This window comes from Homo sapiens, chromosome 14 (assembly GCF_000001405.40).
Source record: "Homo sapiens chromosome 14, GRCh38.p14 Primary Assembly".
Taxonomy (NCBI): Eukaryota; Metazoa; Chordata; class Mammalia; order Primates; family Hominidae; genus Homo; species Homo sapiens.
The window spans coordinates 71,621,745-71,649,349 of NC_000014.9; the positions used below are offsets into that span (position 1 = coordinate 71,621,745).

General features: G+C 38.5%; 1 protein-coding gene across 58 annotated transcripts in view; it reads left to right on the plus strand.

Annotated features, from left to right (window-relative positions):
• The window catches only part of SIPA1L1 (signal induced proliferation associated 1 like 1), a 420,734-nt gene that overhangs the window by 301,269 nt on the left and 91,860 nt on the right, over nucleotides 1-27,605 (plus strand). For all 58 annotated transcript variants that reach the window (XM_047431217.1, XM_047431229.1, XM_047431218.1 and 55 more), the window contains one exon: nucleotides 2,304-2,492. In XM_047431217.1, the coding sequence (XP_047287173.1) occupies nucleotides 2,304-2,492 (189 nt within the window). The remainder of the gene's footprint in view (nucleotides 1-2,303; nucleotides 2,493-27,605) is intronic.

Genomic DNA, 27,605 nt, shown 5'->3' on the forward strand with positions numbered 1-27,605 from the left:
CCTCAAATGGTGCCTTGCCTCCCTGTTTCTCACTTCCCCTCCTTGCCTGTCTCCTTCCATCCCTTTCTCCATGTCTTTCCTCCTTTTCCTCTCTTCCTTTCTTCCTTCCTCCCGCTAATATTTATGTAATTAATTGCCACTAGGTTTTGTATAATTTTTTTCTCTCTAATAATAAATAATCCATAAATTTGATTTAATGGTAATATTGTATTAAGACTTTTGATAGAAATGTTTCCAGATATTGGTTCCTGTCTGTAGCTCCTGCACTTTGAGAGATAGTTCCTTCACTTTTTTCACTGAAGCCCATTTACCTATTACAAATGAAACAAGACTTAATTTGTATCAGGGACTTCTCATGTTACTAATTTCTCATGCAGATAAGAAAAAAGAAAACATGACAGTGACACTCTAGTGGCTTCAGTAAGCGGCAGCAAGATAACAGAAATACAAACAAATCTCTTTCATTTTAGTATAAATAAACATTGCAAAACATAAAAGAAGATATATACCTTTGTAGGCATGGCAGTTTGTTTATGAGCAAAATTTTATGGCATGTGAGTGTTTTTAAGCATAGGAACACGAGGACTTATGAGGACTCCATTCTTATTTCTGGAAGTCATTAAGAAAAATATCAGTAATACTAGTGATTCGGATGTAAAAAATGAGCCATTCTTTTTCTCATCTGCTTTGGCTTTCATGAGTTAGCTGCTTTCTATGGCTCAGGATGCAATGGCTTGAATTTGGTCTTGGCTTCTAAGTTGAGAACACCCCTAGCCTTTGTGGCTCCCTATTTCAAGCTATGTATTATCTCATGAAGAAAACAGTCAAATAACTGAGTTAACGATTTTCCATGATTTAAAAACAAAATAAAAACTATTTGTGTCAAATTATACATTAATAGGAAAATGATTTTTACTTGTTATTTGAAAAGAAATTGTTTATAATGAAAGAAAAAAGGTACTCATTCTAACTACATTCTCTGCCTCCAGTTGCTTCCTCTCACAGTTCATCTTATTTGCAGCTTAATTTCTGAGTATACATCGTCCCCCTACGAACACGTCCTGTGCTGACCTGTAGGAGCCCAGTGAGGCGTGTACCACTCAGTCAGCTTCAGGGTCTTCTGTGCACCCCCAGCTCACAGCTGCCTCATCCATTTCTCCCTGTACTCTCCTTGTGTCCATCTACAATAATCACTCCTTCCCACTTACTCCCTTTTTTCCCAATCTCCATACCTTTGCTCATGTTGTCTCTTGACATTTTCTTTTTGTAGAAATTGTTCCTCTATTTCATGGCCATTTCCTAAAACCCCTCCTTTCAGTGGGGCCTTTCTTTATGCCCTGAGCCACTGTGGTCCATTCTCTGCCTTTGGACTGTCTGAGGTCCTGACCTTGTTATACTTTGTTGGGTATACTTGTCCTTCTGAGATTGCAGTGTGTCTTTCTGACCTCTCACCCTCATATTTGACAATCCTCAACTTGCACTCCTAGCTTTTGTAGCTCCTGTTGCTAAATGGAAATGTATTCAGTTTGATGGGTTTTCTCTTCTTTCCCCATGCAGCAGTTAAATTAGGTTAACAAAACTTTGCCTTGTAGACATTTTTGGAAATTAAGACTACTTTAGGCTTCATGTCTGGTTAACTTTTCTCTGAAAACAACATCATTACGTAGGAAAATGTCTTTGCTTAAGGTATTAATGGAGGGTATTTTAAGAAGGGAAGGTATTTTAAGAAATAAGAGAAAATCTAAAGTAATTTCAGCTGCTATTGCCTGTGCTGCTGTACTGATGGTGATAATTGTCCGGTGGCAGCAGCATTTGGTAATATGAATAGTTTATGCTTGTCAGCCATGCCTTATGAAGCTTAAAACTTTATCTCCCCCTTTTTATAATTCAAAGAAGTATAACATCCAAATTCTAAGTATTTATTCTTCAGACATTGCTCTGGGGTTCTGCCTTCTTAATTTCCTAATTAGTATGCATAGTGACATGGTATAGCCATATAGAGACCTTGATCTTTACTGATCTCTTTAAGGAAATGTTATTTTTTGTCTTTAAATAAATATCCTCAGAAGTCTTGATTATGTGCTCCTTTGGACCCACCCTGGTCTTGAAAGCATTGGTTTCATTTTTCATATTACAGTATCCTACATCACTTTTCTCATTCTTTCTCCCTCACTGGCTTTACCCATCAAAAATCATTCCCTAGCTCTGTGAGGAGCCCCACAGTTCAGGCCTGCAGTGCATGTACATGTGTTCAGGCATCTCACATCCCAGAAGCCTCACCACAGCACCTGTCTCTCTTGCAGCTCATGACACTGAGAGGTTCGGTCCTGGAGGACGCCATTCCGTCGACAGCCAAGCACTCGACAGCCAGAGGCCTGCCTCTCAAAGAAGTGCTGGAGCACGTGGTTCCTGAGCTCAATGTCCAGTGCCTGCGGTTGGCCTTCAACACACCCAAGGTCACAGAGCAGCTCATGAAACTGGATGAACAAGGGGTGAGTTTGCCTTTCTGAGGAGAGCATTCTTGCTCAGGTTTATTGCTAGGCTTCCGGAATACAGACCTTAATGTTTCTTGTTTTGATGGAGATAATTGATACTTTTTATTGTGAAAGACACTCTCTTTGCAATTACTCATTTTGTTTTTTCTTAACTCTGAACTCTGAACATTTCTCATCTGATGAAATTCTGCATGTCAGAATTTATAAATAAGGCACTTTAAACTACGTTAAATTCTTTTGATAATCTTCCATATGTACGGTAAGTTTTTCGAGTGTCCAAGAATAAATAATAGCAGTAATCATAATAATGTTGTGTTAATGACAATACAGTAATAACAGTAATTAATAATAATGAGCATATTTGCAAGCCCCTTTTCTAAGTGCCTTAAATATGTTATCTCATTTAATCTCCCTACACTGTGAGAAAGGTACTATTATTATTCACATTTTAGAGAGAAGGATTCTGGGACACAGAGAGATTAAGTAATAAATCCAATTTCACACAGTTAGTAAGTTTTGGAACCAGGGTGCAAACATAGTCTGCCTCAAAGTCTGTGCCACTTCACCGCGCTGTTCTTAAAAGCTTAGAGTTTCAAAGTCTATTAGTACCACCAAAGATATATTCTAGCCAAGATTTTTAAATATAAAAATGTAAAATTTCACATTCTGCTTAGAGTAATTTGAGCATATGGGCCAATTTTATAGATAATATATTTATATACTCTTACTTTAATTCTTTCTTTTAGCATTTTAGCCATATTGCATCCTAGTAGTGGGTGGTAGTAGTTTTAACATTACATTTAAAAATTACTCCAAAAATAAAATTGGTTCAGGTAGTTTATTTATTTTTTTTCCCCATTATGTTCATTTTTCACAGAAGGGTCCAGCTATTGAATGTCATTTTGTGACCAGATTTGGATAGGATTTCCTTAATCAAAAATTCAAATTTTATTAAAATGAATGAGAGTCCAAAAAATCAGTTTTAAGGTATATTTATTGTTTTAATTCAGCCACTGAGAATATATAATGAAGCAATAGTTAGATGTCTCTTTTCTCTCTTCTCTTTTTTTTTTTTTTTCTGGAGACAGTTTCACTCTGTCACCCAGGCGGAGTGCAGTGGCGCAATCTCAGCTCACTGCAACCTCTGCCTCCCAGGTTCAAGCGATTCTGTTGCCTCAGCCTCTCGAGTAGCTGGGATTACAGGCATGCGCCACTGCGCCTGGCCAGGTGTCTCTTTTCTAATCTTTGCCTTTTTCTATCCATTTCACTTTTCATAATGCACAGCTAATATCTATTTGACACATACATCTGAAGAATGCTGTGAGTATCCATGTTCATAATGTGAAAATTTGTTGCCCTTTGAATTCTTCAAAAGACTACTGACATATAAACGTAACTATTTTGGAGGCTGTTTTCCAGTAATATTCTGAACATTTATTCTAACAAAGGAGTAGAAAAATGATGTTTAGGTCCAACTTTATTGATTCGGTCATTTCTACTACTGTGTTTATCAAGGAGAATAAAAACATTTAGACATTGATAATATAGTCATATACTTAACATTTGAAATTTCTATTAAAACAGATTATTTTATGTAAAGGAGATAGTTATTGCCATTTTCTTTTGTTTTAACTATATTAAATAAAAATGGATACTCTACTTGTAGACATTATGGGGATTTCTGACACATTTTATGTCCTCTGTTAGTGATGCCAAGTGCTGGATCACAGACGGTGCTGATCTGTGATAAATATTTTATAGTCCTATCCACATGGGAAAGATAAGAACACTATAAAGAGTTGAACTCAAAGTTTATTTAATTCACAAAACTGGCCATTATTTTGAAATTATGGCCTTCCTATTCTTGGAAGCATTAAAATGTCCCTTCCTTCATAAATTATTAATCATAATATATGATAGTTGTTTTCTTTAATATCTTTACTAGGCAAAATTAAAATTTGGCAATCAGTCAGTCTCTTCAATTTTACTTTGAAAGTAAGTGCCTTAAATATGTCATCCCGTTCAACAGGAGTATTACTATTAGACAGTAGTTTTTTACTAGACAGTGGAATCTAGAGGTTCAAAGCATGCTATTCTATATGAACAGCTCCATGTCTGGACTAAAGAGCACCGGGGGTTAGCCTCTGTCTTTTTTTTATCTCCATACATACAGCATTCAAAGCCTGGATTGTACTGAGATAAAGCAGACGACATGCATACTTAGGCTTTTAGTCTTGGGAGTAATTTTTTTGGTAGGAAATCTCATTAATGCCTTGGAATTATTTTGAGAAACTGATTATTTTGGTGCCTTTACAAATACAGATTTTAAAAAGGAAATGCTTATAAGTGCAGTGGATTATGCATATGAATCATTGCAAAGCATTTTTAGTTTCCATCTGTGTCGTCATATTTTAAAATTTCCAGCTTTGTGTGTCGTTATATTTAAAGAGATTCATAGTGTGATACAAGGAAACTGGACTCATCAGAAGGAGCTTTAAATCTCTTTTTATATTTGGTTTAAATGATTCTTTTAATATATTTTATGTTTTTATTAACTGTCTTACATAACCATGCTTTGTAAAAGAAGACACAATTTATTTCCTATATTGTGGCATTTTGCCTTTCAAATCTTTGGTGCTTTAATTCCTCATTTTACCACTATCAAAAGCTAAAGTGAACAGAAAAATTAAAATTTTATCTATTAAATATAAAAGAAAGCACTGCACAAAAATCTAATAATTTTTTTATTTAACTTGACAGTGATATATATGTGGGAGCTGAAGTATGCATTTCAATTCCTGAAGAAACTTATTTTAGAAAACGAACTAATTTTTTTAGCTTATCCAAGCTTTTACATTCTCCATCCTGATGCCTTTCTGGGACTTTCACTACTTTTTTTTTTTTTTTTTTTTTTTTTTTTTTTTTTTTTTTTTTTGAGACAGGGTCTCTGTTTCTGTTACCCAGGCTGGAGTGCAGTGGCGCGATCTCGGCTCACTGCAGCCTCTGCCTCCCGGGCTCAAGCAGTTCTTCCACCTCAGCTGGGATTACTGGGATGCACCACCACTCCTGGCTAATTTTTGCATATTTAGTAGAAATGGGGTTTCATCACATTGGCCAGGGTGGTCTCGAACTCCTGACATCAGGTGATCCACCCTCCTTGGCCTCCCAAAGTGCTGGAATTACAGATGTGAGCCACCACGCCCGCCTTTCACTACTTAGTGATGCCCATGTCAGTTGTTAAAATGGCAATGAGAAGACAAAACTAACCTCCTAATATTTTCACACCAATAAGAATTTATAACACTTGATGCTTTAGAAAATTTGTGTTCTTACTGTCAGGCACCTTGATCTTCACTTACAGTACAGTTGGGGGCATCTCATGATAAAAACAAATGAAATAAATACATATTTCATTTTACTATGTTCTAATCACTTTACTGGCATAATCTGATTTAATCCTCACAGCAACCCTGTGCAATAGATTCCAACTATTGGCCTATTTTACAGTCAAGGGGATTAAGGCATACAGAAATTCCCAGAGCTGTTTTTCTTACCTGTCATCCCTTAATAGCCCTGAGCACTGGATATAAATTTGCATAATACAGCTCTTCAATTTTAAGATTTCCAAGATCCCATTTACATATCTCGAATTACTTTCTTTTTAATTTCTTTTTTAAAAATCTGTCATCTTTATTTTTTTAATTTCTAACTAGGAATTCAGTGTAGAATATTGGAATATTCTGATGCTTAAAACTATGCTGTAGGCTGGGTGATGTGATTCACACCTATAATCCCAGCACTTTGGGAAGCTGAGGCAGGAGGATTGCTTGAGCCCAGGAGTTCGAGACCAGCCTGGGCAACATAATGAGACCCCCGTCTCTAAAAAAATAAATAATTTAAAAAACTACACTGTGAAGTATTAGGAATTTTGTTATTTAATCAAGTCAGCTTTTAAATAATGTAGAAAATTCAGATACTTTTAAATTTGCCATATCAGAGCCATTTTTCTTCAACAGTCATTTAAAAATACCTATATTTCATCTACTCTGTGCAAGGGGAATGAAAGATGATTATGTCAAGCCCTGGTTTAAGGCGTTCCCACATGTAAAGCACTTAGTACAGTGCTGAGCATGTGATAAAACGTTGAAGAAATAGGAGCTGTTGATAATAAGATAATAACTTGTTAGTAGCCCTTTACATACATTATCTCATTTAATCTTTATACATATCCTATGAGAGAGCTTCTGTTGTAGTTGATACATTATGCTCACTTTCACAAGTAAGCAGGACTGTTTCAAATCCAATAAATGCTTTTTAAGTATGACTCTGCAGGTTGTTAAATACTGTAGAGAACAAAATAGGCTAGTAAGACATAGTCCTTATCCATGAAGGAGACAGGGTCATAAATTACTGTAATGGATGTCAGGGTTAATATAATAAATCTAATAAGAGAATTGCAAACAAAGAGCATGGAGGTACAAGCCAGTGGGGACAAGTCATAATGGTTAACTGGATCAGAATGAGATGGGCCTTGGAGGGGAAGAAGATTTCATCAGGCCAGGGAATAAGCAGTTGGGTGGTCCATACTCAGAACAATAAGAACGAGACTCGGAAGGACAGAAGCACACAGTGCGTTCATGAGGCAGCAAGGAATCCCGCTGAGCAGGAGTGTGAGGCACATGTAAGGGAGTAATAAAAGTAGATGATTTTTTTTTTGAGACGGAGTCTCACTCTGTTGCCCAGGCTGGAATGCAGTGGTGCGATCTCGGCTCACTGCAAGCTCCACCTCCCAGGTTCACGCCATTCTCCTGCCTCAGCCTCCCAAGTAGCTGGGACTACAGGCACCCGCCACCACGCCCAGCTAAATTTTTGTATTTTTAGTAGAGACGGGGTTCCACCGTGTTAGCCAGGATAATCTCGATCTCCTGACCTCGTGGTCCGCCTGCCTCAGCCTCCCAAAGTGCTGGGATTACAGGCATGAGCCACTGCTCTTGGCCAAAAGTAGATGATTTTTATTGACAGTGACTAGGCCAGGCACTGTGTGAAACAGTTTCCATGAATTATTTTAATTAATCCTCAGAATGCTTTGATACTATTATTGTTCCTGTTTTATAGCTAAGAGCACTGAGACACAAAGACCAGTCACAATTAGAGTCTGTGCAGGCTGGTCTTGAATCCAGGCACTCAGACTCTAGAGCCTGCATTCTCAACCAGTACATCAGCCACCCTGTCCTCTTTTCCCTCCCCATGAATGGAAGAAGAAACTGGAATTATATTGCTGCAGACTTCAGTGCCCGGTATTCAGTGTAATATGTTAAACCCAAATAAAATTGGAATGGGTCTGGTTTATAAATATTTAAGGTACAGTTGCTAGTTTGCAGTAGAGAAAATTGGTAGTTCTGTTTTCATTAGGAAATGTCAGGTTTCATGTAAATGGTAGTGACTTTGCCTAAATGAATCTTCACTGTTTTTCTAGATTATTAAAAATGCAGTGAAATGAAAATATTTATTGAGTTTCAAATTTTAAGAAGTTATCCTTCAGGTTATTAAAGTCAGAGTAAGGGAGAAAGTGATCATATTTAATTTAACTCTGCAATAAATATCTCAAGAATGGATATAAGGAAATGAGCAATGTTTATGTGGTAATGAATAGCACTGACCCTTTGATTAAGGACATGAATGAAATTCTCTGCTGACTTCGCCTATTCATTGCCTTGCTGCGTTATTTTATTGTGAGGATAAATGAGTTTGACTAGCCATTTTCTCTTTGATTCAGGCAGCTAGTTTTGAAAAATGATCCATAGGGGAAATATTTTTTCCAAAACTGATTTTCTCTAAATGAAGCTTTGGCAGAACAATTGCCATTCCTAGAATTTTAATCGTCTCTTAGATTATGATATTAGCTAATGCATGTTTAGAGTTCAGATGGCTACCAAATTGATTCCAGACAACTGGTGGATCCGTATGTACATTTTCAGGAAGGAGATATCCACCATGGCCATCTAGTCAGGGGAAGAAATCAGTGGCATCTGTAGCTTTGTCTTGTGTGTTCACAAGTAGTGATCACCCTGTGCTGGCCTATCGCTGTTCTTTTGCCTGGCTGAGGCTGGATTGGATGACAGGATAGAGTCCCTTCCAATGAGAAGATTTTGTGATTAATGGGACTGATAGCATTAGCATTTGGAAGACATGCGGCTGTGGTAGGACTGCAGTTTGCAGTGAGAGAACACAGCAAGACTAAGATCACACGTGAGGACTTGGATCACGATTCAGAAGGATGCAGGAACTGGTGGCAAACATTTGTCTTCTGGATTTTGAATTGTGGATTGTGTTTTAAATTCAGCTTTAAAATAAAAGTTAAACCAATTTCTTTCCTATAGGATTTATCTAAACTAGGCAATAGTTTCAAATGGTCCCAAAATCAAAGCAGTATGACTATGTTTACATTCAGGGGTTCCATTTCTACCTGTTCCTATGACCCTTTTCTCCCCTGCCTTGTAGTTAATCACCTTATTAACTACAAGGTGTAGTATTTCTGTTTCATTATGCAGTTTCTGTATTTCTGTTTCATTATGCAGATACCACCAAATATGCATATGCAGCTTTATTTCACCCCTTTCTTTTATATATTATATATATACATATATATATACTTTAAGTTCTAGGGTACATGTGCACAACATGAAGGTTTGTTACATAGGTATACATGTGCCATGTTGGTTTGCTGCACCTATCAACTTGTCATTTATACTAGGCATTTCTCCCAATGCTATCCCTCCCCCAGCCCCCCAGCCCCTGACAGGCCTGTGTGTGATGTTCCCCACCTTGTGTCCATGTGTTCTCATTGTTCAGTTCCCACCTATGAGTGAGAACATGCAGTGTTTGGTTTTCTGTCCTTGTGATAGTTTGCTGAGAATTATGGTTTCCAGCTTCATCCATGTCCCTGAAAAGGACATGAACTCATCCTTTTTTATGGCTGCATAGTATTCCATGCATTTCACCCCTTTCTTATACAAGATATAACAGGCTGTAGACACTTGCTTTTTTCATTTAGGAATATATTTTTGAGATTTTTTTCGTCAGTACATAGAAAGGTTTCCCAGTATTTTTACTACTGCATAGTAGCATAGTATTTTGTTGTACTGCTGTGCCATAGTTTATTTCATCAGTTTCTCTATTGATGGGCATGTATGTGTAGATTTAAGTCCTTTTCTCTTACAAACAGTACTGCAATGAAGACTTTTTCTGTAGAATTGAAATTCATCTCAATGTCAAAAAAATCAGGTACCTTTATTATCAACTTAATACCCAATATGAAACTTTTTATCTTTGTGAGAAATTTTGCACAATAACATTATTAGGTAAAATTATTGTGTGTGGATTATTTCCTTTACATTATGCCAAAGATAAAAATAGGTTAGAATATGTCTGTGTACTTATATATAAATAATTTTGAAAGCATCTGTCAGGTTTTTTCTTTTTACAACTTTACTATTTAGTATCCATATGTCATTTTTTTAAAACAGTTGGATTTTTGTTAGTAATTCCCAATGAGGATATACATTTTCTAACTGGCATTTTTTGCTCTCAATACGGAATTTTTCCAGTTTCTTTGTCATTCTTTTTGGAGGACAGTATAGAAATTTATCTTCAGGAAGTAGTTAAGAGAGTTATGTATATGAAGAACAAATCAAAGCAAATAATGTGAATTAGAACAATTTTTTTTGTTTTATTTTAATGACCAAGGTCTTTACTTTCAGTAATGGCAAAGTTGCTTATTGCAGACCGGCCCATCCATTGAGAATAACCAGGAAAATTGAACAAAATATTTTTAAAACTAAGTTTGGACTCTGGATTCTGGAAAGATGGAGTAGATGTATTTCTCTGCGTTCTTCCTGCTAGGTACAGCCAACAACCTTGGACACATATATAAAACAAACATAAAATGAATCTGAAAGGTGGAGAGAAGCAGCAGGCTGGTTAGGGACCTTGAGATCTCTGGAATGGCATAGCTGTGAGGTCCCTGGGTTTTCTCTTTGCTCATATATCCCAGTCTTGGGCTGAAGAAGTCAGCAAACTGGAAATGCCTATAGGCACAGCCAAAATGTCCCCCAAATGTCTGTTCTTTTTAGCAAAAGGACCAAAAAAAACAAACTTAGAAAACTTTAAAACAGGAATCTCTCTACTCCAACTGCACAGTACAAAAAGAAGCTAACAACAACAACAACAAAAAACCCACAGCCTTCCCTCCTCCCTAATCCTTGCTGAGGCATTGTTAGAGAAGGCTAAGTGAGGAACTGGAACTTTCATCACGGTGGAGTGGTAATGAAGTGCCCCTCCAGCTCCCCACTGTGTGGCATCAGAAGAGGCCTGGTGGAGAGTCAGGACATTTTTGCACACCCAGCAATAACGGGGTCTTCTTACCAAAGTGTCAGTGAAAGCCACGTGGGGAGTAGTAATCATGCATGCCTGATACCAACCAGGGCAGTATCAGGAGAGACTCAGCAGGGAGCTGGAATTGTTGCCACTGCCTAGCAATACAGAGGTGTTGCTTTCCCTTAGGTGTCATGGAGGGAACTTGATGTTCAACCCCACCTAGCAGTGTCATTTTTTCCATACCAGAATGGTAATAAAGAAGGCCTGCTAAATAGAGGATTTAAATAAGATCCAGAGTCTCGTAAGTTAATATCCAAAATGTCCAAAATTGAATTTAAAATCACTGCTTATACCAACAATTGGGAAAATCTCAACTTAAGGGAAAATTTGATCAACACATGCCAACACTAAGATGACACAGTTGTTAGAATTATCTAACAATGATTTTCTGACAGCCATCATGAAAATGTTTCAATGAGCAATTACAAGCATGATTGTTATGTTATGTTATGTTATGTTATGTTATGTTATGTTATGTTATGTTCTGTTCTGTTCTGTTCTTTGGAGATGGGGCCTCACTCTGTCGCCAGGCTGCAGTGCAGTGGCTTGATTTCGGCTCACTGCAACCTCCACCCTCCGGGTTCAAGCGATTCTCTTGCCTCAGCCTCCTGAGTAATGTGTGTATTTTTAGTATTTTTGTATTTTTATTAGAGACGCCCAGCTAATTTTTGTATTTTTAGTAGAGACGGGGTTTCACCATGTTGGCTAGGATGGTCTCGATCTCTTGACCTCATGATCCTCCTGCCTAGGCTTCCCAAAGTGCTGGGATTACAGGCGTGAGCCACAGCACCCAGCCACAAGCATGATTTTTAAAAATGAAAAAATAGAAAGTCTTAGCAAAAAATTGAAGGTATTAAGGAACAAATGGAAATGTTAGAACTGAAAAATAGAACAGTCAAAATGTAAAACTCAGTAGATAGGTTTTTAGGATGCTAGTGGACCCTGAATATGGGCCATTAGCAGTCTACCAAAAATTATAAATTCTGAAATGTAAGGTACTTCAATGGGCTAGACACCCTAGAAGCCCCTGTCCCCAGAGACAAAATGGAAGGGACAGAGGAAAAAATCAGTGAACTTGAAGATAAAACAAATAGGAATCACCAAATCTGAGCAACAAAGAGTAGACTGGGGGAAACAAATGAACAGAGCTTCACGGTTTGTGGGGCTATAATAAAATATTTAACAATTGTGTCTTGGAAGAAGAGGAGAAAGATGGCAGGCCTTGAAAAAGTATTCAAAGAAATATTTGGTAAGAAGTTTCCCAAATTTGGTCAAAGGTGTAAACCCACACATGACAGAAACTGAGCAAATCCCAAACAGTATAAATCCAAAGAAGTCCACAGCAAGAGACATCATAGTAAAATTTTTGAACACTAAATACAAAAAAAAAAAAAACTTGAAAGAAGCAAAAGATAAATGACATGTTACCTATAAGGGAAGAACGGCTGGGCACGGTGGCTCATGCCTGTAATCCCAGCACTTTGGGAGGCAGAGGCAGGTGGATCACCTGAGGTTGGGAGTTTGAGACCAGACTGCCCAACATGGCGAAACCCTGTGTCTACTAAAAATACAAAAAATCAGCTGGGCATGGTGGCGGGCACCTGTAATCCCAGCTACTCGGGAGGCTGAGGCAGGAGAATTGCTTGAACCCAGGAGACGGAGGTTGTAGTGAGCCAAGATCACGCCACTGCACTCCAGCCTGGGTGACAAGAACAAAACTCCATTTCAAAAAAAAAAAAAAAACCCACCTATAAGGGAAGAACAATTTGAATCACAGATTTTTTTTTTTTATCAGAAATCATGGAGGCCAGAAGGAAGTGGCATGATAATTTTTCAGGAGATGGAAGAAAAGAACTGTCAACCCAGAATTCTGTGTTCAGGGAGAATATCCTTCAGGAATGAAATTGAGACATTCTCAGATAAAGGAAAATTAAGAGAACTTGTTACCAGGAAACCTACCCTTAAAAAGTAGCTAAGTTGGCCGGGCGCGGTGGCTCACGTCTGTAATCCCAGCACTTTGGGAGGCTTAGGAGGGTGGATCACAAGGTCAGGAGATCAAGACCATCCTGGCTAACATGGTGAAACCCCATCTCTACTAAAAATACAAAAAATTAGCCAGGCGTGGTGGCAGGAGCCTGTAGTCCCAGCTACTCAGGAGGCTGAGGCAGGAGAATGGTGGGTACCTGGGAGGCGGAGCTTGCAGTGAGCAGAGATCGTGCCACTGCACTCCAGCCTGGGCAACAGAGTGAGACTCCGTCTCAAAAAAAAAAAAATAGCTAAGTTATCTAAACAGAAAGGAAGTGATAAAAGAATGGATCTTGGGAGGGCACGGTGGCTCACACCTGTAATCCCAGCACTTTGAGAGGCCGAGGCGGGTGGGTCACCTGACATCAGGAGTTCGAGACCAGCCTGCCTAACATGGTGAAACCCCGTCTCTACTAAAAATACAAAAAATTAGCCAGGTGTGATGGTGGGTGCCTATAATCCCAGGTACTCGGGAGGCTGAGGCAAGATAATCACTTGAACCCAGGAGGTGGACATTGCAGTAAGCTGAGATCACGCCATTGCACTCCAGCCTGGGCAACAAAAGCGAAACTCCATCTCAAAACAAACAAACAAACAGAAAAAAAGGGATCTTGGAACTTCAGAGAGAAGGAAAGAGTAAAAATATGGGTAAATACTTTTCTTAATGAGTTTTCTAAATTATTTTGCCATTTGAAGCAAATGCTATAACAATGTCAAATGTGCTTTTCAAACATATGTACAAGAATTTTTTAATGTAAGTGTTTTATAAATGGCAGAGAGTAAAGAGACTAAAGAGAGGTAAAGTTTCTACACTTCGCTTCAATTGGTAAAACGGTGCATGTAGATATCAACTACATAGATAAAGATATATATAGTAATACATAGAGCAATCACTAATAATACTTAAGTTCTAAGAGATACATTCAAAAGCCCTATAGATAAATCAGAAAAGAATTCTAAAGAGCACTCAAGTAATTCTCAGAAAGATAAAATAAATGAAAGATAAAATGACAGACTTAAACTCTAATGCAGAAATTAGTTCATTAAAAGCAAAAGATCTAAATATACCAATTAAAGGACAGAGATTGGTAGACTGGATTTTAAAAAGCATTATCTAATTATATAAACTATAGAGTTACTTGAAATATAAGTAGTTGAAAGGAAAGAATGGAAAAAGACCATGCAAACATGAATCAAAGGAAAGCTATAGGGCTTAGTAATGTCAGGTAAAGTAAACTTCAGAGCAAAGAAAGTTAACAGAGACAGAGAGGATCATTGCATAATGATGAAGAGGTCAATCCACCAAGAAGACAGCAATCCTAGGTATATGTGCATCAAACAGAGCTGTAAATGTGAAGGAAAAAAACTGATGAAACTAAAAGGAGAAATAGGTAAATACACAATTATAGTTGGTGATTTTAACATCTCTCCTTCAACAATGGAAAGGAAAACTAGACAGAAAATCAGCAAAGACATAGAACTTCACAACATCAACCAATAGGATCTAATTGACATAAAGCACTTTACTCACAACAGCAGAATACATGTTCTTTTCAGTTGCACATGGAATGTATGCCAAGATAGACATCCTGTCCCATGAAATAAACATCCTCAAATTTAAAAGAAGTGAAATAACAAAAAGTATATTTTCTAATCAAACTGGAATCAAACTAGAAATAACAGAAACATAATGGAAAAATCTCTAAGCACTTGGAAACTAAAAAAACAGATTTCTAAGTAACCAGTAGGTCAAAGAAAACACTTCAAGGGAAATGAAAAAATGTATGTAAACTGAATGGAAAGGAAAAGACAACATATGAAACTTTGTGGGATGCAATTAAAGCAGGCTGAGGGGGAAATTGACAGTATGAAATGCTGCGTTAGAAAAGACAAAACATCTCAAACCAGTAATCTAAGCTCATAACCTTATATGACTAGAAAGAGAAGAGCAAAATAAATCCAAAGCAACTAGAAAGAAGGAAATGGTATAGATCAGAAATCAATGAAATTAAAAATAGAAAAACATTTGAGGAAATTAATGAAATGAAAGGCTAGATCTGGCCAGGCGAGGTGGCTCACGCCTATAATCCCAACACTTTGGGAGGCCGAGGTGGGCAGATCACTTGCGATCAGGTGAGTGGATCACTTGAGACCAGCCTGGCCAACATGGTGAAACCACGACTCTACTAAACATACAAAAATTAGCCGGGCATGGTGGTGCATGCCTGTAATCTCAGCTACTCAAGAGGCTGAGGCAGGAGAATTATTTGAACCCGGGAGGCAGGGGTCGCAGTGAGCTGAGATGGCGCCACTGCACTCCAGCCTGAGTGACAGAATGAGACTCCATCTTTAAAAAAAAAAAAAAAACAGCTACATCTTTGGGGTTTAAAAAAAAATTTTTTTTTTTTCATAAAACCCAGATCCTGTGTGTGCACGCGTGCACACACACACACACACGCTAGATCTTTGAAAAGATGATAAAATTGAAAATCCTCTAACAAGACTGACAAAGAAAAACAGACAATACAAATCTTGTCAACACGGTAGTCCCTCAGTATTCATGGTTTCGCTTTCTGCAGTCAACTGTGCTCTAAAAATAGGAGAGTACAATACAATAAGATATTTTGAGAGAGAGAGAGTACATTGTACATTCACTTAACTTTTATTACATTGTATTGTCATAATCGTTCTATTTTATAACTAGTTGTTAATTTCTTACTATGTCTGATTTATAAATTAAACTTTATCGAGTTGGGCGCAGTGACACACCTATAATCTCAGCAACTCAGGAGGCTGAGGTGGGAGGATCATTTGAGGCCAGAAGGTCAGCATTAGCCTGGGCAACATAGTGAGACACTGTCTCTACAAAAAATTTAAAAAAAAAGTATCCAGGCTTGGTGGCTCATGTCTGTAGTTAAGAGGCTGAATCAGGAGGATCAATTAAGTCCAGAAGTTGGAGGCTTCAGTGAACCATGGTCAAGCCACTGTACTCCAGCCTGGTTGACAGAGTGAGACTCTTAAAAAAAAAAAAATAAGAACTTTATCATAGATTTTTAGGTAGAGGGAAAAACATGGTATATAGTTATATAGGGTTCGGTACTATCCATGGTTTCAGGCATCCACTGAAGGTCTTGGAACATATCCCTCATGAATACAGGGGTACTACTCTATCAGGAATGAAATTAGATATTACCACCAACGCCCCCAATAGCAACAATGTATTAAAGAAATACTGTATACAGCTGAATACATACAATTTTGACAAGATGAAATGGGAGAACTCCTCAGAAAACAGTCACAACTCAGCTAACTGAAACAGAATATTTGAATAGCCCTATGATTATTGAAAAAAATTGAATTCATAATTTTAAAACTCCAAAAATGAAATCTACTGGGCCAGATGGTTTTCCTGGGAAGTCTACCTAACATTTAAAGAATTATCACCAGTTCTGCACAATTGCTTCCAGAAAATACAAGATAAGAAACATTTTAAATTTAACTTTATGAAGCCCTAATACCAAAGCCAGACAAAGGTAGGAAAAAAGAAAACTACTGACCACATCCCTCATGAATATACATGTAAAATTCCTTGAAAAAAAAATTAGCAAATATAATAAAGTAGAAAAAAATTTTGTAGACCATGACCTAGTTGGATTTATTCTAGAGATGCAAGGCTGATTCAGTATTGAAAAATCAATTAATGTAGCCCATCGTACTAACAGACTAAAGAAGAAAAATCACGTGGTAATATCAATTGGTGCAGAAAAAGCATTTGATAAAATTTGAACTTATTTATGATAAAAACTAGTAATACAGAGGAACTTTCTCAGCTTGATGAAGAACATCTACAAAACTTCTATAGCTTGCATTATTCTTAATGGTAAGAGACTGGAGAAAGGGAAGGATATGTGCTGTTAACACTGCTATTCAACATAGTACAAGAAGTTCTAGTCAGTGCAGTAAGGCAAGTAAAAGAAAAGGCATGTAGACGCAGCAGTGGAAAAATAAAACTCCCTATTTCAGATGACATGCTGGTCTGTTTGCAAAACCCTAAGGAATCTATAGATAAACAACCTGGAACTGCAAAATGTGTTTAGCAAGCTTGTATGATTCAACATCAACTTACAAAAATCAGTTAGATTTCTTTCAGTGAATATGTGGACACTGAAATTAAAATACACCATTTGCAATCCCTAAACAAACAAACAAAACTTGGAGCCAAACATGATAGCCTGTGCCTATAATCCCAGATAGTCAGGAAGCAGAAAGATCACTTGAACCTAGGAGTTCAAGACAAGCCCAGGCAACACAGTGAGATGTCATCTAAAAACATAAACAAAAGCTTGGGCATGCATCTAACAAAACATGAATAGGACTTGTATTTTGAAAACTACAAAACCCTGATGAACGAATCAAAACCCTAATGTTGGGCATGATGGCTCACTTCTGTAATCCTAGCGTTTTGAGAGGCCAAGGAAGGAGGATTGCTTGAATCCAATAGTTCAAGGCCAGCCTGGGCAACATAGTGAGATCCTGTTTCTGCAAAAAAATTTTAAAAATTTAACCAGGCATGGTGGTGTGCATTTGTAGCTCCAACTACTCAGGAGGCTAAGGCAGGAGGATCGCTTGAGCCCAGGATTTCAAGGCTGCCATGAGCTATGATCATCCTGCTACACTCTAGCCTGGGTGACAGATTAAGTCCTGTCTCTAAGAAACCAAAGACCTAAATAAATGGAGAGGCATACTATATTCACAAATTGAGAGCGTTAACATATATTAATCATGTCAGTGTTCTCCAAACTGATACAAAGTTTAACTTCTTAATTTTTATCAAAATTCCGCCAAGGTTTTTTTGTGGTTATAGACAAGATTATTCTAAAGTTTACATGAAAAAACAAAGGAACTGGAATACCTAAAACAATCTGAGAAAGAGGAATTAATGTGGGAGAAGTTATTCTGTCTGATTTCAAGACATGTTATATAGCTCCAGTAGTCAAGACTGTGTGGCATTGCTGGAAAGATAGACATGTGGATCGGTGGAACAGAATAGAGAAACCAGAAATAGCCCCACACAAATATATCTAGCTCATTTTTGGCATAGGTGTAAAAGTAATTCAGTGGAGGAAGGATAGGCTTTTCCAACAGTACTGGGACAACTGGACATCCATAAACAAAATAATGAACCTTGACTTTTTGGGTTTTTTTGTTTTTTTGTTTTTTTGAGACTGAGTCTTGCTCTGTTGCCCAGGCTGGAGTGCAGTGGCATGATCTTGGCTTACTGCAACCTCCGCCTCCCAGATTCAAGCAATTCTCGTGCCTCAGTCTCCCGAGTAGCTGGAATTACAGGTGCATACCACCACACCCGGCTAATTTTTGTATTTTTAGTAGAGACGGGGTTTCACCATGTTGGCCAAGCTGGTCTCAAACTCCTGATCTCAAGTGATCTGCCCACCTCAGCCTCCCAAAGTGCTGGGATTACAGGTGTGAGCCACCAGGCCCCCGGCCTAAACCTTGACTTTTAAGCATCAACAATTAATTCAAATGGATCATAGATTGAAATCTACAAGTATTAAATTTTTTTGAGAAAAACATAGGAGAAAATCTTTGGGACCTTCAGCTTGGTTAAGAATTCTTAGATGTGGCACCAAGAGCTTGATCTAGAAAGAAAAAAAAAATTTGAGAAATTGTAGTCTATCAAGATTAACAATATCTTACAGTGCTTTTTCTCTTAGACATTTGCTGATAGGTTAAGAATCTTGGGGCTTTTCCATCTAGCATAAAGCAGCAGATAAAAAGTTAGGAGACAGATCAGAGCTTTCAGTGATCAGATCAAATCAGAGCTTGTATAGGGCTTTGGAGGTTACAAATTGAATTCAAGGCTTACTAGAGAACTCAAATCTGTAAAACAATTATATTGAAATTCATTTTTTTTCTTCTTCTTTGAGACGGAGTCTCACACTATTGCCCAGGCTGGAGTGCAGTGGTGCAGTCTTGGCTCACTGCAACCTCCGCCTCCTGAGTTTAAGTGATTCTTGTGCCTCAGCCTCCCGCAGAGCTGGGATTACAAGTGTGTGCCCCTACGCCCGGCTAACTTTTGTATTTTTAGTAGAAACGGGGTTTCACTGTGTTGGCCAAGCTGGTCTCGAACTCCTGACCTCAAGTGATCCACCTGCCTTGGCCTTCCAAAGTGCTGGGATTACAGGCATGAGCCACCACACCCAGCCTATATTGAAACTCTAAAACTAAAAAACCCCTAAAGTTAGACTCATTTAAAAGTAGATATGTTTAAGAACATACTGGACACAGTAGGAGAGAGAACTGATGAAGACAGATTACCAGAAAAATTTTAACTAAAGAACGGAGACAAGAAAACATAGAAAAATACAGAAAAATGTCTGAAAGGCATGTGGGTAACAGCAAAATATATATATGATTGAATTTCCAGAAGAGAAGATATTTATGCATTATTTGGGAATAAAAGCAGTATTTGAGGAAATGCTGGTAGAGATTTCCAGAACTGATGAAAGACAAGCATTAAGATAAAAACAAGGAGTTCTGTCCACCCTAAACAAGATAATCTAAAAAAAAAAAAAAAATCAAATATAGGCTCATAGTAAAAATTGCTGAAAATAAAAGAAAAAGAGAAAAATCTTTAAAAATAGCCAGATGGAAAAATACCTTTAAAGAACAACAAGACTGTTAAACATTTGCTGGGCTATAAAGCCTAAAGAAAAAGTAGAGGCCGGGCGTGGTGGCTCATGCCTGTAATCCCAGCACTTTGGGAGGCCGAGGCGGGCAGATCACGAGGTCAGGAGATCGAGACCATCCTGGCTAATACAGTGAAGCCCCATCTCTACTAAAAACACAAAAAAATTAGCTGGGTGTGGTGGCAGGTTCCTGTAGTACCAGCTACTCTGGAGGCTGAGGCAGGAGAATGGTGTGAACCTGGGAGGCGGAGCTTGCAGTGAGCCGAGATGGAGCCACTGCACTCCAGCCTGGGTGATAGAGCGAGACTCCGTCTCAAAAACAAACAAAAAAAGTAGAAGGCAGAAGACATTTCTAAAGTGCTGAAAGAGTAACCCTCACAATGGATTTTACACCAAAAATTTTCTTTAAAATGTAGGCAAAACTAATTTATAGTAAAAAAAACAAAATTAGTACAGTGGTTGCCTGAAGCTGTTAGATGATGCAGGGATGGACTGCAAAGAGGAACCAGGAGCTATTGGGGTAATGGCAGTGTTCTGTATTTTGATTGTGTTGGGGGTTTGTCAGAAGTTATTAAATTATACGCCTTGCATTTACTCTTCAGAAATCATACATCAATAAAGTTGATTTAAAAACTGAAGGCAAATTTCTGCTTCTTGCTAAGATTAAGTAAGAGGGACTGCATTTAACTTTCCACCTGAAACAACTTAAAAACTAGACAAAACAATGAAACAATGGTTTTTATAATGTTGGACATCAGGCATTGAAGGACATTGATTGCTTGGGAGATGGGAAACAAATGAGGTGAACCCTAAGATTGCACCAGCTTTCTGCCTGAAGAGAGTTTCCAGGCTACAGTACAGGCAGGGGGTACCCAGTTAAAGGCCAGAAGCCTCCCTGATTGAGATTGAGATGTGAGTCCAGGGAGGCTAGAATTCGCAGAGCACAGAGAATCAGGGAGGAGAGAGCCGTAAACAGTCTACCTCTGGTGCGAATAGTTTCAACTCCTACAAACCAGACTGGAAAACTTCATAATTGACATGGCATTGAGTAGAGCCTCACAATGCTTTTGCCTCAATAGTGGGGCAGAATTATCCTTAGACTAAACACTGCTGTCGTACAACCAAGAGTTTAAAAGCAAGAACTACAAGGCTCAAACTCTTGCCAAGTAATTTAACTATGAATCCAGAACAAAGTCAAAAATACTTTATAGGAATACAACAATATCCAGCACCCAACAAGGTAATATTCATAATGTCTGACAGTCAATCATTTAATTAAAAACTACAAGCAGGAGCATATGACCTATAGTTGGGGAGGGGATAAAATAATTAAACAATTAAAACCACAAAAATGACTCTGATGTCTTTTTAATGTTTAAGAAGCAGGAGGAAAGATTGAACATTAAGTAGAAATCTGGAAAAAGAAAAGCTTTGTATTTATGGATATGAAAGCTACAATATCTGAGTTGAAAAGTACACTGGACAGAATTAACAGCAGATTAGACATTGTCGAAGAAAGGATTAGTGAACTTGATGACATAGCAATAGAAACAATTGCCAAAAAAAAAAAAACAAAAAACCCAACATCAATATACTGTGAGACAACTTCACCTGACCTAATATTCATATAATTGGAGACCCCAGAGGAGTTAGGAACTACCTGAAAAAGTAGTTGAGGAAATAGTTCCAGATTTTCCACATATGATGCAAGCAGACCCAAGAAACTCAATGAGCCCTAAGAATAAGAAGCATGCAGAAAATGACACCAACAGATATCATAATCAAATTGTTTCAAACCCGTGATACAGAGAAACTCCTAACAGCAGCCAAAGGGAAAAATCTTGATTTTCAGAAGAAAGGTTATCAAAATAAACAATGAACATAGGAAAAGTTAGATGACTTTTTTAGTCGTTAGAGAAATCCAGAAGAAAGCATAGCAATACAGTTCTCAGATGTTTACGTCTCAGAGTCCCTTCACCCTTTTAAAAGTTAAAGATCCCAAAGAGCTTTTGTTCATAAGACTTTTTTGTGTGTTTACCACATTACAATCAAAACAAATTTTAAAATGTTATTTTTAAATAAAATGATTACATTTTACATGTTAATATAAGTAACATGTTTGTGAAAAAAGTTTTCTAAAATGAAAAACTAGTGCAAAGAAAGTATCGTTTTTGCAGATCTCTTTAATGTCTGGCTTAATAGAAGGCACTTGGACTCACATATGTGCATCTGCTGTCAGTCTGCTGCAATATGTTGTTTTGGTTGGAGTAAATGAAGAAAATCTGTCCTCACAGAGTTTATGTACTTGGAGAAAGAAGGACTTTCATACGGCCTTTTCAGATAATTGTGGATATTTTCCTTTGATATAACACCAAAACTCAACAAGTGGTAGTTTTTGTGTGTGTGTTTTTTTCTTTTGAAATGGAGTCTCACTCTGTCGCCCAGGCTGGAGTGCAGTGGCACGATCTTGGCTCACTGCAACCTCTGCCTCCCAGGTTCAAGCAATTCTCATGCCTCAGCCTCCTAAGTAGCTGGGATTACAGGCGCCCACCACCACGCCCAGCTAAATTTTGTATTTTTAGTAGAGACGGGATTTCACCATGTTAGTCAGGCTGGTCTCAAACTCCTGACCTTGTGATTTGCACACCTCGGCCTCCCAAAGTGCTGGGATGACAGGCGTGAGCCACCATGCCTGGCCAACAAATGGTAGTTTCTTAAAGGTTGATAGCTATGTGGAATCTGAAATCATGAGTTAATCTGAAATCATTCTGTTAAATGAAAAATTCATTGACTTTCATGCACTTTGAATGAATCTTTCTTTTCCTTTTTCTTTAATTTTTTTTGAGACAGGGTTGCACTCTATTGCCCAGGCTGGAGTGCAGTGGCACAATCATGTAATCATGGCTCACTATAGCCTTGCCCTCTTGGGCTTAAGCCATCCTCCCACCTTAGCTTCCAAATCCTGGGACTGCAAGCCCATGCCACCATACCCACCTGATTTTTTAATTTTACAGAGACAGGGTCTCACTGTGTTGCTCTGGCTGGTCTTGAACTCCTGGCCTCAAGTGATCCTCCCACCTTGGCCTCCCAAAGTGCTAGGATTACAGGCATGAACCACCATGCCTGGCCTTGAATGAATCTTTTATTCATGCATGATTTTGTAATTTCATACAGCAGTCATTTGGAAAAATTGGTTCTCTTATGGAGATTTTATAAGTGTTTGTTTAGTTTACAATAATGAAAATATTCCATTGATCTTATTAGAAAAAGAGTTAAGTGTTGGGAAACCCTTAGGCTCATGGTGATAGGTGTAAGTTTCCAAAAATTTAAATTTTGCTTTAGAGCTTAAATTCTATTATGTCAGGAAATACTGTGAGTTGTTTTTCCTGAAGTAACAGGCTCCCCTTTATATTTTCAAGACAATATCTCCCAAATACACAAGCCTGAATGACTATAGTTTGTCTCTTGTTTGTTCTTTCATATGAAAATAGTGATTTTAGTTAGGTTTTTATTGCTGCTGTAACAAATTACTCCTACTCAGTGCCTTAAAACAACATAGATTTGTTATTTTACAGTTCTGTAAGTTAAAAATTAAATATTGGTGTCACTGGGCTAAAATCAAACTGTGTCCTTTCCGGGGGCTCTAAGGGTGAATCTGTGTTTGGCCTTTTCAACTTCTGGTGGCTGCCCGTGCACCTTGGCTCATGGCCCTTCCTCCATCTCCAAAGCCAGCAGTGTTGCCTCCCTTTGACCCTGCCTCCATTGTCTTTTCTCTTTTGTCTCCGTTGTCTTTTTCTGATGATCATCTTGTCTTCCTCTTCCACTTTTAAGGACCTTTCAGTTATTGGGCCCATCTGGATAATCCTGGCTACTCTCCCCATCTGTTAATTGGCAATCTTAAGTCCTTCTATAATCTATGCTCCCCTTTACCATTAACATTACGTATTCACAGGATCTAGGGATTAGGAAGTAGGTGGGTTTGAGGAGAAATTACTCTGCCTGCCAGTCTTCTATGAAAAAGACACAAAGTTCATCTTGCAACTCAGTTGAACAAGTGCTTTTCCTTGAGAAAGCTATCATAAAGCACTTTAGTAGGCAACAGATGCTTTATATATACGCTGCATTTCATCACATGGAATATTAAAAAGCATATACTCAAGTGTCTAGATTTAATACAAGTTAATATTTTACTGCTTCATCAAGGACATTCTTAACTGGGTTTTTATTTGGGGAAGGGGTGAGTGTATAGCGGAGAAAAAGAATGCAAGGAGTGCTGGTATAGTTTGGAGCCACTGCTTGATTCATGCAAAAGTGCCAGCAGTTTGACTCACCATGAGTGCATATGTCCGTGGAAAATACCAGATTGACTCTTAATAGTGTTTTGAAGATAGTTTTGATGTCATGATCCATCACTCCCCACAAGAAGGTTCTCAGAGATGCTCAAGAGTTCACAGTCCACACTTCAAGAACTGTTGCACAATGAAATACCTCATAGTGACTATTTTAAATTTCTAAATTTAATTAGGCAATAGTAGAGGTTTCATAAGAATGTAAGAATTGAGTTGTTCTCATCGTTTGTTCTACCCCAGTGGCCGCTTTCTGGCCATGATACCAGGGAAGATGAGGTAAAATGCAAAACTTCTGAAGAAGACTGAGAACTTGGTTATTCACATCTCTTTCTTCTGGTACAGGGCTGTGACTTTATCGTCCATCTTTCCAGGAAGTTATGGCTGTTTAAGTCAGATTGCACTGTCTGTTTCTTTCTTTCTACTTTTTTTTTTTTTTTTGAGACGGAGTCTTGCTCCGTCTCCCAGGCTGGAGTGCAGTGGCGCTATCTCGGCTCACTGCAAGCTCAGCCTCCCGGGTTCACGCCATTCTCCTGCCTCAGCCTCCCGAGTAGCTGGGACTACAGGTGCCCGCCACCACGCCCGGCTAATTTTTTGTATTTTTAGTAGAGACGGGGTTTCACCGTGTTAGTCAGGATGCTCTCAATCTCCTGACCTCATGAGCCACCCGCCTCGGCCTCCCAAAGTGCTGGGATTACAGGCGTGAGCCTGCAGTGTCTGTTTCTTAACTCTGTGTTAAAGTGCCTATTGTATGAGAGGAAGAGCAAATTTATGTACTGTTGTTTCCCAGCTGTGGAAGCTCACAACACTTTTAGTAAGTGTTGAAAGACCCCTTTACTTTGTTGAGATTTAAGACCTTCATCTCAAATATAGCCCTTGTCCCATTGGACTGACCACCATCACTTTTGTATGTACAAACATTTATTGAGTGCCCAGCACTTCCCTCAGTGCTTCATATGAACAGCTGATCTGCAGGCATGAATTATGGTACCATTGCTAAATGACCCAGAGGTTATCCAAAGCAAAATGCTAAACTGTGGATAGGAGGGCTTCTGGTGTCATCATAACTCTATTTTGATCATTACCTTAAAGTATTGTATATGTAGATCCATAAGCCCACGTAGGTATGTTTGTGTGTTTCTGAGACAATAAATACTGTTTTATATAACCTCAAAGCAATCCAAAATCCCCACATCATGGCTTTACAACTCCATGTACATTAGCTCCTTCTCTTAGAATGTTCCTGATTACATTTACTTAACTTCTGCTTGTCAACATCTCATTCTATCTGGGAGCATGGCTGCTAAGGATTCTAGGAGCCTGAGTTCGGAGAATGCTACCTACCTTTGATCTAATTGGAGTAGAAATCAAGATACAGTCACATTGTCACCTTTGAGGATACAGCAAGTGATATTTGACACAGTTTCAAACCAGAGGAAACTTGACATTGTAAGGAATTTCCTAATCCTCTTAAAGGATCATTCCTTTCACAACTGGCAAAACCGGTTTGTTCTGTCAGCAGGTGGAGCTCACTAGGGTATAGAATTCAGTCAAAAGAGGCACATTGTCCTGTCCTTGAATTCTGCTTGTCCACTACTTTGGGGGATGTTTTCTTATCTTCTTTCTGCAGGAAACTTTTTTTTTTTTAATAAATGAATCTAAATAAATTAATCCTTTTGAGTGTTGCACAGTGAAATCTTAGGCCTCTATCTATGAAGTTTTAAATAGGCACCCACAAATTCAGTGTCGCTGTAATGCTTTCCATTAGTCAGGGTGAGTTTTGTTTTACCCTGTTGCAAGCGAAGGCTGTTCTGGAAGGCATAGCCAGACAGCATGTAACTTAAAGCCCCTTCCTGTCTACAGATTGCTTGATCTTTTTGTTCTCCCTGGAGGGAGAGAGTCAGGTAATGTTCAGCCCTGGAATCTGGCTGTATTAAGGACTTCTTTTGTAATAGACATCGAGACTATCTCTCCCTTTTTATTTGTTGAGACCTAATAGGGTACTTAGCTCAATTCTAAAGCCAAGATGAAACCTTTACCTGTGGGAGCGTTCCCTTCTAAGCATTAGCCACATTCAGCCATTAGAAGCAGGCCCGCTAAGAAAGGGGTTAAATGTCAGTAGTGTGCAGCAAGTTTTACCCTGATTTTTTTTTCTTATGTGTGCTATACAAAAATGAACTAAGTCCCGAATGTGTGCCTGTTCATAATCAAGGTAGCAGTAGGTCAGATTGTATGCTGTTTTAAAAATATTCCAGGACAGGCACAGTGGCTCATGCCTGTAATCCCAGCACTTTGGGAGGCCGAGGCAGGTGGATCACCTGAGGTCAGGAGTTCAAGACCAGCCTGACCAACATGGTGAAACCCCATCTCTACTAAAAATACAAAAATTAGCCAGGCCTGGTGGCGCATGCCTGTAATACCAGCTACTTGGGAGGCTGAGGAGGGAGAATCGCTTCAACTCCAGAGGCGGAGGTTGCAGTGAGCCAAGATTGCGCCATTGCAATCCCGCCTGGTCAACAAGAGCGAAGCGAAACTCCATCTCAAAAATATATATATATATCCAGGAACCCTCCTGTCTATGCACAATGCAAAGGCTGTTGAGCTTTCTTGTCAGCTAAGCAGGGTGCAGGGGAGGGAGACAAAGCAAGCAAAGGTGTTTTTTTGTTTGTTCATTTGTTTTCTCCCCTGTGACATTTTCCGTTATCACGATTTGAACCATTTGATTTGGAAAGCTGAAAATGGTAGTTCAGGTTCGTAGTCCCTTAATATAAAGTGGCAGGGCTGGCTGTGTTTCAGAATTGAGGAATTTTCAGATTTTAGAGGGATAATAAAATGTATGACCCATATAGTAATATTCCCAGTGAGATCTGGGGCAGTACCCCACAATCAATTATGCAGGGGAAACATGAATATTCACACAAAGATGAATAAATTAAAAGTACTAATGTCAGCCCCATGTCAAGTTTTGCTGCCAAATATGTTTGCCTAAATTTGCTTTCTACCTTTCAACTTCAGAATTGCAAATAAGAAGTTGTAGACATATGTTGCAGCGGTTGTCCAAAGACAAACCTGGTTGAGTTCTGGTGATAGTTAATGGAGCTGAGTCACAGAACTGACTCTTTATGATCTTGTGTCTCTCCCTACTGTACTAGTTCCTCTCTCTTGCATTCTCTGATCTCTTTGCTCATCTGTCAAACAGGGGTAATATTTGCCTTGTGGGCTATTGTGAGAGTAAGAATTTAATGTATGTTAAACACTGCACGTAGTGCCTGGCATATGATAGGTATTCAATAAATGTTAGCTATTAAAATTTCACCTCTTCTCTTCCCCCTTTTATTAGATAAAACCTTACTGATGTGGTGGTTGTAATGACACTCTGGAAATAGGATTAAGTGATAAGAATTGTCCCAATGTCATTGGAGAATTCAAAGTCCAATTTTTTTTTTTTTTTTTTTTTGAGACAGAGTTTTGCTCTGTTGCCCAGGCTGGAGTATGTGGTACAGTCATGACTCACTGCAACATCAATCTCCCGGGCTCAAATGATCCTCGAACCTCAACCTCCCGAGTAGCTGGGACTACAAGTGTGCACCACCACA